Here is a 12,665-nt window from a genome sequence, read left to right on the forward strand (position 1 = left end):
TTATTATTTGTCAGTTAAATAAATAAATAACAAATGAGTACAACTGTTACATAGTTGCTATGACAGAGGCCTCTTTATGAAAAACAGAAATGGTTAGCATGTGGCTCACATACTATCCTTCCACCTCCTATTCCAGAAAAGATTTTACTAATTAATCGTAATATTCCTCCCAAGAGGTCCCAGATGTGACCTCAGAATCCTTCTCAACACATTAAAACACTGAGCCACAAACAATTGATTAAAGGTAGCATTCAAGTTGAAATTTGTGTGCTATCGTTGATCCAAGTTCTGGTAAGAATATTTCACAATTCCATCTGTGTAAGTTTAGGAAATAATTCATAAAGAGGATGGTACTTGATAGAATCTTGAAAGCTAAATACATGATACATAGGTGTCAAGGAGAGTGAAGAAGGGAGGAGGTGGTGATGGAGTATTCCAGCAGATGTAAAGAATAAAATTCATTACAAAGATTAACAAGTGAATGGTAAGTTGGCCAGCAATTCTAGACCATGGCTTCGTAGATGTTTTATGTGAAAGAAAAGAGAGTTTATTAAAGGTACCTAGACGTGTGTGCAGGGAGGGTCAATGGACAATTTTTTAAAACCTGACTAGATTATGTTTCTGGGCTGTGGAGAAGGATGTAGAGAGAAAGTTTGAAAAAAATAGGCAAGAAAAGAGAATATAATGAACAAGTCCTCAGAGAAAACCTAAGGCCAGTATTCTCTCCCAGCATTGCTTTGAGGTTGTCTGATCCCTACTCCTAATAGGGTGGCTGTGGTGGAAGCACGCATGCACAGCCAGGTGTCTAGTGCACAGGCACAGAGAGGAAATGCCAAACATCAACTCAGAGGGAGACCAAGCTTGAACCACAGAAGCATACCAAGAATAGCTTAGGGTGGGAGGGCCAGGGGACTAGGGAAGTCAAGAATGAAAAGCTTCTTCTCTGAGACAGCAAAAAGGCAGTGGTCTGGAGGAATTCTAAAAGGAAAAAAAAAAAAAAAGAAAATATCACATGTCCATTGGGACTCTGCCCTCAACAAAGGTCTGGATGGGAAAACCAACAACATTTTAAAGATGGATGAAACAGACAGAAGTATAGTAAACAGGTTGTGTTTTAAGATCATGACCAATTCTTTTTCTTTTTTTTTTTTTTGGTCACTTTGCAGTACTTTATTAATTATAGGAGGTTTGAGTACTCTCAATCTTCGTTTTCAAATTTTCATGCCCATTCCGAAGAATTTAGTCTTCCACATGAACTTAAGGAAGTTCCTTGAACCTCCACTACCACCTTACATTTAAAATGGGTTTTGAGTATGATACACCTAAAGAATAAATTCAATAGGTAAATATTAACATCGTTTTTAACTTTAATTTTACTTTTAACTTTCATTTTACTTTTTAAACTTTTATTTTAAAATCAGAGGGTACATGTTCAGATTTGCTACAAAGGTATATTGTATAATGCATGTTGAGTAGAGTATTTTATAATAAGAGTCATTTATGACAAACCCAGCCAATATCATACTGAATGGGCAAAACCTGGAAGCATTCCCCTTGAAAACCAGCACAAGACAAGGATGCCCTATCTCACCACTTCTATTCAACATAGTATTGGAAGTTCTGGCCAGGGCAATCAGGCAAGAGAAAGAAGTAAAGGGTATTCAAATAGGAAGAGAGGCTGTCAAATTGTCTCTATTTGCAGATGACATGATCCTATTCTAGAAAACCCTATCATCTCAGCCCAAAAGCTTCTTAAGCTGACAAGCAACTTCATCAGAGTCTCAGGATACAAAATCAATTACAAAAATCACAAGCATTTCTATACATCAACAACAGACAAGTGGAGAACCAAATCATGAGTGAACTCCAATTTACAATAGCTACAAAGAGAATAAAATACCTAGGAATAGAGCTAACAAGGGAAGTGAAGGGCTCTTGAAGGAGAACTACAAACCACTGCTCAAGGAAATCAATCAGACAAGACATAGGCAAATGGAAAAGCATTCCATGTTCTTGGACAAGAAGAATCAATGTCGTGAAAATAGCCATACTGCCCAAAGTAATTTATAGATTCAGTGCTATTCCTATTAAACTACCATTGACATTCTTCACAGAATTAGAAAACAAACTATTTTAAAATTCATATAGAACCAAAAGGCAGCTTGAATAGCCAAGGCAATCCTAAGCAAAAAGAACAAAGCTGGAGGCATCATGCTACCCAACTTCAAACTATACTACAAGGCTACAGTAACCAAAGCAGCATGATACTAGTACAAAAACAGACACACAGACCAATGGAACAGAATAGAGAACTCAGAAATAAAACTGCACATCTACCGCCATCTGATCTTCAATAAACCTGACAAAAACAAGCAATGGGGAAATTACTTCCTATTTAATAAATGGTGCTAGGAGAACTGGCTAACCATGTGCAGAAAATTGAAACTGGGCCCTTTCCTTATACCTTATATACGTATTAACTCAAGATGGATTTAAAGACGTAAATGTAAAGCCCAAAACTACAAAAACCCTAGAAGAAAATCTACACAATACCATAGGCATGCCTATTCAGGATACAAGCACAGGCAAAGATTTCAAAACAAAAACATCAAAAGCAATACCAAAATTGACAAATCGTATCTAATTAAACTAAAGAGCTTCTGCACAGCAAAAGAAACTATCTTCAGAGTAAACAGGCAACCTGTTTACTGGCAAAAGATCTGGCATTAAGATCTTAATATCCAGAGTCTACAAGGAACTTAAACAATTTTACAAGAAAAAAAAACAAGCCCATTAAAAAGTGGGCAAAGGACATGAACAGACACTTCTCAAAAGAAGACATTTATGCAGCCAACAAACATATGAAAAAAAGCTCAACATCACTGATCATTAGAGAAATGCAAATCAAAACCACAATGAGATACCATCCTACACCAGTCAGAATGGCAATTATTACAAAGTCAAGAAACAACAGATGCTGGTGAGGCTACAGGGAAATAGGAATGCTTTTACACTGTTGATGGGAATGTAAATTAGTTCAACCATTGTGGAAGAGAGTGTGGTGATTCCTCAAAAACCTAGAACCAGAAATACCATTTGACCCAGCAATCCCATTACTGGATATATACCCAAAGGAACACAACCAATTCTTAAGAAAATCTTTTATCCGATCATTGATGAAAAAGTGCTGTAATTTTTTTTCCATAGTGAGAAATAATAAGCAAAATGTGCCAGGCAGTGTGCTAAATGCTTTAAATACATCATCTCCCTTAACTTAATCCTTGTAATGCCTATGAGATATTTTCATCTTACACATGAAAAAACTTAAGTTGATAGAAGTTAAAGGACTTCACAAGCTTGTGTGTGACAGAGCTGGGTTTTTAACCCAGGGTCCAGGCTTCTATCGACTCTACCCTACGTACTTTTTTGAAGAACATCTCTGACCCCACAAAAACACTTGCTTACTTTTCACTGAACAGACTGTTTTAATTTTTTTCTAAGCATCCTTCAAGGCCCATTTGCTTCTCTCTGTGAAGCCTTCACCCGCATCCTTGTGCTCAGTTAGTGGTACCCTGCTCTGCCTTCCTATATGATACCATAAAGCTTTGTACTTATCTCTCCCAGAGCTCTCACTATGTTTGATAATAGCCACCTGTGAGTTTGTCTTTACTATAAGGTTGAAGCAAAGCACAGAGAAAGGATGTGGACTTTGAAGTTAAGGAGAACTAGTTCAAATTTCAGTTCTTCCTCTTATTAGTTGTATAAACATGGGCAAATTACTTAACCTCTACCTCATTTGTAAAATCAAGATAATGGCAACAATGATTGTGAATATTTTAATGAAATAAGATTATGTTAAGTTCTAAAACATGCTGATGCTAATTAAATGGTAGAAATTATCATGACTTTTTATAACTGTTAAGTGAATGAATTGCAATTTTATCTTGATTCACCCCATTGGTTCTATATTTCTGAAAATTTAAGATGGGAACATTTGTTTACAACATAAATTTCAAGCAAAATATTTAAACACCTCATTTAAGAAAAACAAGCTTTTCACACATATATGTTTATAAACAATTAAGGTATTTATGTAAATATCCTTATAGTCATCAAAATGGATCCCAAAAGATCTCAGCTTCCCAATAGTTGGTTTAATTTGAATTACTATAAGACTTTAAAAATAATAAAAGTACAATTCCTTTAAATGGCTGACTGTCACACAAGTCCGTGTGAAAAGACCACCAAACAGGCTTTATGTGAGCAATAAAGCTATTTAATCACCTGAGTGCAGGCAGACTGAGTCCAAAAAAGGAGTCAGCAAAGGAAGACATGGGTGAGGCAGTTTTATAGTATTTGGATAGGTAGTGGAAAATTACAGTCAAAGGGGGTTGTTCTCTGGCGGACAAGGGCAGGGGTCACAAGGTGCTTGGTGGGGGAGCTTCTGAGACTCATTGACTGGGAGAAGGAATTTCACAAGGTAATGTCATCAGTTAAGGCAGGAACTGGCCATTTTCACTTCTTTTGTGGTTCTTCAGTTGCCTCAGGCCATCCAGATGTATACCTGCAGGCTTGGACTCAGAGAACTCACACTGACATGATTTTACTAAATTACATTCCAACCTCTTTCTTCCAATTAATCCCAATGAGTCAAGTTTTATTGTGTTTACATTTCAAGTGCAAGGTTAAAGTAAGTAAGTCAAAAATCTCAAATCCAAATGTTTCAGAGAGCCATAGAAAAAGGCTTTGGCAGATTAATTGGAGGAAAAGAGGGCTTTCAAAGGAGGCTGAAAACAATTTTCTATTGATAGTTAAGTATGTCATCATCTGAGGGTATATGCAAAGCAAGACTAGCCATATGACTGAGAGTTACATGGGGCTTCATTATATTACTTCTTTATATAGACTAGAGATGTTGGAAATTTTCCATGATAAAAAATATTTTAAAAGAACAAGATATAATTACCATCATCATTTGTTAAATTTACTGGGCATTTTCCATCTCTTTTAATTCATAAAATTATCACTTCCTTATGAAGAGAAGCAAACTTAAGATTAAAGAGATTACAGAAATTTCCCAAATTCACGATCCTAATAAGTAGCAGATTTCAAGACTCTCATTTTTAACCAGTCCAAGATACTCAGAAGGAGAAAGGGGGAGAAATGGCATCCTACTGAGAAAGGAAATGTTTCCTTTTTCTATGTGAAAACTGCTAGCAGCCCTCAGATAAAGAACCCCAAGGGGAAAGCAGATGTGACAACTGGAGGCACTGCGTGTGGCCTGTGGACTCCTGGGGAGGGAAGCAAGTAGAGCAGACCACAGCACTGATAGGGGAATGGAGCTGGCAGAAGTGAAGAAACAGCAGCTCTACTGGGATCTATCAGAAAGGTAGATGGATCCAAAAATATGTTGAATCAAAAAATGCAGAATGTGCTGTGTGCAAAAACCGGAGAAGGAATAAATAACCCACCCTGAGGGAGATTCATTCAGATGTTTCCTCTCCAAGAAAAAGTGTGAGGTGAGTATTTTCATTTGAGTTTGAGGAAATTCAGGCAACATAACCAAGAGAAGCACATACCCCAAGATTTCACAAGCAGAACACAGTTTCCATGTGGCTTGTGGAAGGAAGTGGGCATTCAAAACCCGATTTTGAATTCAACCAGGAATTCCCAATGATATATGAGATGGACATACTGAGTGCTTTTTGTCAACATCCAACGAATATTTATTGAGCAAATATTATGTTTGGCACTGTGCTACATGATGAAATACAACAAAGAAAACAGATTCAGTTCTCTAAGCTATAGAGGAAACAGACAAACAAGTCAAACAACAAAAAAAATAAAATAATTTAAAAGGTCTGAGTGCCACTGTATTGGTTTTCCAGGGCTGCCATAATAAAATGTCACAGACTGGGTGGCTTAAACAACAATTTATTTTCTCACAATTCTGCAGACCAGAAGTCCAAGATCAAAGTGTCAGCAGATTTGGTATTTCCTGAGACCTCTCTCCTTGGTTTGCAGATGCCACCTTCTCACTGCGTCCTCACATGGCTCTCCCTTTATCTATGTGTTTTCTGTTTCCTGATCTTCTCTTCTGATAAGGGCAGCAGTCACACTGGATTAGGGTCCACCCATATGACCTTATTTTACCGTAATTACCTCTTTAAAGGCCCTATCTCCAAATACAACTAAGGTACTGCACGTTAGAACTTCAGCATATGAATTCGAGGTGGGAGGGAACAATTCAACCTCTAACAGCCATGAAGTTAAAAAACAGGATGCTGGCCCCATCTTTTCAGGGAAGTCGTACCTATTCAATCTGATGAAGTTAGACTAATAAGTTATCATAATACGGGACACCTCCTCCTTTTGCACAGTTGCAATTGTCACAATGGCAATTTACATTACTTTGTGTGATCACTTGCTTAAGGTCTTCCTCCCTCTCCTCACTGCAAGCTCCAAGAGGGCAAGAATCTCTTCTGCTTTTTCCTTTCACTGTATCCTACCACTTAGCAGTTAACTGTACCTGATATGTAGCAGTTGAGGTATCCACACATGTATTTTTTAAAAGGATGAATGAATAAGCATCAAGATTGAGAACAATGTTGAGGTGTGAGGTAGCATCTAAACTGATATCTGAAGGATGGGATGATGAGCTGGACATGAAATAAATGGGAAAAAGACAACTCCAACCACAGTATGTGTGAAAGGTTTGCAAAAAGATATAATCTGACATGTTACAAAATATATGTATTACATAGTGCCATATAATAATTGAACTTAATATGGCAACAAGATAAGACTGTCTTTTGTTTCAGATATTCATGGATATGCTGGGAAAATGTGGAAGAAGGGCCTAGCAATATCCTATAAAGCTAATTACTTTGGGGAATTCAAATAAAGATGAACCAACAAGAAAACAGCAGAGACGAATAATCCCTAATTTTCCCCAAATCTCAAAGTAGGAAAGTATCTTTCTCAACCGGAGGTAATCCCCCTCCAACTCCCAGGTTTCAAAGAGTAGCAACTGTCAATCTGCAGAAATTCAGCTACCACACATACCCTATGAATATATTAAGACTTTATTATGATTTTGCAGCTAAATTGCATATGATCTTGAACTCAATATATTGTTACTATACATGGACATTTTAGAGCACTGAATCTGTTCAAGGAATTTGAAGATCACTCCATTGGTTTTGAAACTCCTGCAGCAGAATAACCCTCTGCATGTGCACAGAACTTTGAAAGACTGCTAACATAAGACTTGAAGAGCTTTTATGGAGGCTACAGTTGGTTAGATAAGCAATAAACATATTTAAGCTTTTGCTCTTGAGTTACACATTATGGAAAATACATAAATATATATATCTTTCATGAAACACACATATGACGCACTGTACACCCGGGAAAAAAACAAAATTTAATGGTCAAAATATCCCATATTTGAGTCTGTCAACCTGAAATCAAAAACATCAGAATCCAGCTTAAAAGAGTTCGTTCAACTGCAAAGCTGAGAATAGCCATCCAGGTAATACAGATTCCAAAGGAATTGGATCAGTGCTCCAATGCTGAAAAGTTAAGGTCTTGCTTATACAGGCAAAAAACAAATGTAACAGGATTACAACATTTTCCATAGAAGGCTGGTTTATGAGTTACAGCAATTAGATTAGGTACAGCTTGTTTCCTTTTCATTTTCCAATTAAAGAAACTATATTCAACGTTTATCCCAGACAATGTGATAGTCATGAGGTCTTTGTGTAGGAGAATTAAGAGGAAAGTTAATCTATAATGAATATCAACAGTGAAAAGAGAATGGGTCTAGGTCTTCCCTTGTGCCCTTTAGTCTTTTACATTTTACAAAACAATGTAGGTTAAAAAAAAAAAAGCCTAATCTGTAATCAGAGAACAAAGATAACAGCTGCCTAGGTTACAGGTGCCTGTCATGTGACTCAGGTCCCATAATCACATTCCTTTAAGGCTCAAAGTAACTTAAAGTTCCAACAGCTTTTGAATTACTTTTTTTTTACAAGTCAACTTTGCCAATAGCCAACAGTGTGACCTTGACTGCCACATCACCATGACATATTCACTGTGTGTCTAACTCCTTCACTAGATTATAATTCCCTAAGGGCAGAAGACATGTTTTATTTCTTTTTCATCTTTACCAGTTCCTTCTGTAACAGGCACTCACCAAATAGATGTTGTGTGGCTGGATGGAATAAATAACAGCACCTGTAATAGATAAGATAGACATTATCTTGTTTACCAATGCAATAAGTTAACTAAGATAAAACATATATAAAACAATTACAAGGTGTAAAGTATATCTGAATAGTCTGTTTTCACATGGCTGATAAAGATATACCTGAGACTGGGCAATTTACAAAAGAAAGAGGTTTAGTGGACTTACAGTTGCATGTAGCTAGGGAGGCCTCACAGTCATGGCAGAAGGTGAAAGGCATGTCTCATGTGGCAGCAGACAAGAGAAGAGAACTTCTGCAAGGAAACTCCCCTTTATAAAACTATCAGATCTCATGAGACGTATTCATTATCACAAGAACAGCATGGGAAAGACCTGCCCCTATGATTTAATTACCTCCCACTGGCTCCCTCCCACAACAGGTGGGAATTCAAGATGAGATTTGGGTGGGGACACAGCCAAACCATTTCACTAATCAAGGTGAAATTATACAGTATTAATAATAAATTCAGCAGAGGGGAGAGAATAAGACAAACCAACTTGTCTCCAAATTTAGTCAAAGATATATTTAAGAGTTAGTGAAAATTTGACTCACTTAAAAATACTTCTAATGGGGAATGGTGTATAAATTGTCTGGCAAGGAGCCAGTAAAAGGAAGTGGTTCTGTGGTCCTTGGATTTTCTTCCCTGGGGTTCATCCCCTTCCTACTCCTTAAAATCTTCAGAATAGATTTATATCCATGTTCTGCTATAAAAGGAAGTGGCATTTTCCCTTTTTTAACTACTTTTTAAATCTAATATTTTTACTTTGTTCTGTTTTCTGATTGCTAATATCTTCCCTTATTTTCTTAAGTATATCTATCATGTTTATGTTAAATTATCTTTTCATCTGTTCTAACCCTTTTGCTCCAGATGGGAAATGTTAACCAGTTTTGTATCATCTCTCTTTTGAGGAAATTGTACTTCTCTAGTGTCTGGTTATTTTCAGCTTATCAGCTCAGCTTCCCCTAGGAGTTCAACCCGCTTGTCTTGCCATTGTACTGAAAAAGGTTCAAAGATCAGGCCCTATCTTTGTCCATAGCATAAAGAATAAGGAGAGACAAGAGTGAGTCCCAGGACAGAGAATCTTGACATCCACAGAGCCATCACTCCTTTTTGGCAACACCTACCCAGGCAACTCCTCTTGCCAGGCTTTCACTTTTAAACCCTTCTTTAGGAAGAAGCAGTGTGGGGAGGAGGCATATCCCTAGTTTGCAATATACTAGTCCGTGGATCTAGGAGAAGTGCAGGAGTGAATGCCTAGGAATAGTCAGTCCATACCTCTTGCCATCAACCTCAGCAAGGTGGTCACTAACACCAGTAGCCTAGCACTAGAACAATTAGGCACTGATTGTCCTAAGGCAGCGGGAGAAAGAGGCAAGAGCTAAATGTCCCTAAAGATTTCCTCTAGCCACAGCCACTCACCTTCAACATTCACCATCCAAAATAGCCTTCAAGGGCTTCTTGTGTTCATTCCTAGCACCCTGGATTCTCAATTCTATAGCTTCTTTAAGGTTGATTTTTGGAATAGGGTGCCAGTAGCCCATACTAGTTTGCTTGTTTTTAAGACCTTGTTTTTAAGCCCATCCCCTCAATGGATTTCTTTTTTGTTTCTTCGTTTTATGATTGAGTCTTGCTTTGTTGTCCAGGCTGGAATGCAGTGGTGTGCGACCTCAGCCTCCCGGGTTCAAACAATTCTCCTGTCTCAGCCTCCCGAGTAGCTGGGACTACAGGCACACGCCATGACACCCAGCTAATCTTTCTGTATTTTTAGTAGAGACAGGGTTTCACCATATTGATCAGGCTGGTCTCGAGCTCCTGACCTCAGGTGATCTGCCAGCCTTGGCCTCCCAAAGTGCTGGGATTATAGGCGTGAGCCACCCACCGTGCCCAGCCCAATGGATTTCTTTTAAAAGACTTTCTGGCTTACTTTCAGGTATCATTAGCCAATAAGTAAATTGTGATATTGTTTGAGAATCAGTGATACATTTGAGTATCAAAGATTTGTGATGTGCCTAGCAATTCTACTTTTAGAAATGTATCCTAAAGAAATAAGCTGATAGGTACACAAAAGTGTTTAAGGTCATCCACTGCAGTGGTACTGCTAATAGGGACAATTTGGAAATAACTGAGTGATCATCAGCAGAAGATTGGATAAATAAATCTGGCATACAAATGCAACACAATGCTGCATAGTCATGAAAATGATGATATGGATTATATGGGCAGAGAAGATATACCCTGTGATTGTTAGCTTACATTTCTAATATAATTCCATTTATGCAAAATAAAAGAGAGAGGGAGAAAGAGGGCTGTAGCATAGACAGCAAAATGTTATCACGGATTGTCTCTAGATGTTGGGGTTTAAAATTATTGTTGCTTTTCTTCATTATAATTCTCTGTATTGTTTGATATGTGAACATCCATTTTAATAATCCTTATGATCAGAAATATAATTTTTTTTGAAAATTAAAAAAATAATGAATATCTCCCCAATCATGAAGCCAAAGACTAAACTTCCCTAATGATTTGAGCCCCATTTCTATAGTGTTGGGGGTTTCAGAATAATCTGCTGCTGACCTTCAGTAATAATTTGCTTAGTTTATAACTTAATAACCACTGTAACCCAAGGGTACAATGAAATAAAAGTGCTAATTCGGTGGAGCTGAAGGAAGACAAATTATCCCGGGGAAAGGGCTTCCCCTGAGCTTAGTCACTTAAAACCCTTGGTGGGACCACCAGGGAAAAGAGAGCCACTGCAAGCTGATGAATTGTTCATAGTCTTATCTGCTTGGAGGGGTTCACTGAAGCATTGTTTATGCTGCTATTTCCTGCATATCTAGGCTGACTAATCAGATGATGTTAGGCTGGGGATAAAGGGTAGCAAGGAATGTAAACGTTGTCAAGCCCAGGTGTTGAAAGCAAGAATCAAAAATAAATCAAATATCTTGCTGGTGCTCCCCGGCCTTATGACCTTGTAATTCTTGGCTTAAAGTCTGGATCCTTAATGCAAATGAGCTAATGGTCTCCCCTGGAGCAAAATAGCTTCTGGTCTTGGTGAGAAATGAATAAATAGCTGTAGTGTCCTGAGGCATCAGGAAAGGATCAACACTTGGGCCAAATTCAGTGGTTGAAGCTTCCTGGGGTGAGAGGAAAATGAATCTAGGTCAGCAGGATTTGGGGGGCAACTCAGTGTTTGTTTATTATTGCTGTAAAAATAATTCTACACTTGTTGGAAATTTAAATGAATCAGATTTTTTCCCACTATTCAAAGAGGGGAGGCTGAGAGTAAGATACCAAGTTACTTCGCAGTGCAGCTCCCCCATTCTATAAGGAGGCTCAAAGGAGCTGCCATAGCTTGACAAGTGGACTAAATGACCACTAAAGGAAAAGTCTTCATGCTGATGATTTCAGAGTCAATTTAGTGATGAGAAACTAAAACAGAATTTAGATTTATTCTCTACTCTGTGCCAGGGACTATGCTGGGCACTCTGTGTGTGTAATCACATATTTCTCACAAAACTGTATAAGATAGGGAAATTATCCCAAGCTTCAGATAAGGAAAAATAGCAGTCAAAGAGTAATTATCTTGGCAAAGGTTCAAATCCAATTAAGAGGTTCATCACCTGGTTCAAGACTCAGATTGGTTTGGCTTTATGAACAGAATAAAAGCTCTTTACATTTTCCCACCACATTGGCTCCCAAACTCCTCTCTTTGGACCAAATAGCTGCAAATTAAAAGTTCTTTAGTATAATCCCCTCTCAAGTTTTACATTGGGTTTGATTGCTATGCACATCAAGGCTTCTATTGTGGACTGCAAACTTGCTAGTTCTCTACCCAACATCTATTCTTTTTCTTCCTTTTTCCAGATTAAATCTCCTTACAGCCCACGTACCTTGGGAAGGCTGACCTCACTCCAGCTCCAAGACTAAACCCCAATTTACTCATGCCAATCAGCACATCCTATTATCTTAGCCAGAATATTGGATTAGGGAGGGCATGTGACCTAAATGAGTCTATTAAGGTGAAATTTCAGGATGCTTGCTTGGAATGCTGGAATGGAGGCCTTGTGTGCTGATAAATGCAAAGCCTAGAATTGCTGCAGCCTTTTTGCTATCAAGTGGGAGGCTCAGTTTGGGATAAAGCTGATATAATATAGGGCAGAATGAAAAAAGAGAAAGAAAGAAAGTGGTCCTAAAGACAGCATTAAATTCCTGGATCAACCAAAAGTGTCTAGGACTTCCAGCTGTGCCTATCAACGAAGTATCATTATTATTTAAGCCTGCATGAGTCCTGATCTGTTTCCTAATTGACATAAAATTTTGTATCCGAAGTAGAGTATTGGAATAATAAAACTATAAATTTAGAGCTGGCTGGGTAGCAATCAGAAGCTGGCAAGCTGGTGATCATTGTTGTCTGG

At 37.9% G+C, this 12,665-nt stretch overlaps 1 long non-coding RNA gene across 1 annotated transcript in view; it reads right to left on the reverse strand.

The window, feature by feature from the left end:
- Positions 1 to 8,135: 8,135 nt before the first annotated feature.
- The window catches only part of LOC124902662 (uncharacterized), a 46,307-nt gene continuing 41,777 nt past the window's right edge, over positions 8,136 to 12,665 (reverse strand). Inside the window, exon 2 of the long non-coding RNA XR_007062656.1 lies at positions 8,136 to 8,238. This is a non-coding gene — a long non-coding RNA (uncharacterized LOC124902662). The remainder of the gene's footprint in view (positions 8,239 to 12,665) is intronic.

This window comes from Homo sapiens, chromosome 11 (assembly GCF_000001405.40).
Source record: "Homo sapiens chromosome 11, GRCh38.p14 Primary Assembly".
Classification (NCBI taxonomy): domain Eukaryota; kingdom Metazoa; phylum Chordata; class Mammalia; order Primates; family Hominidae; genus Homo; species Homo sapiens.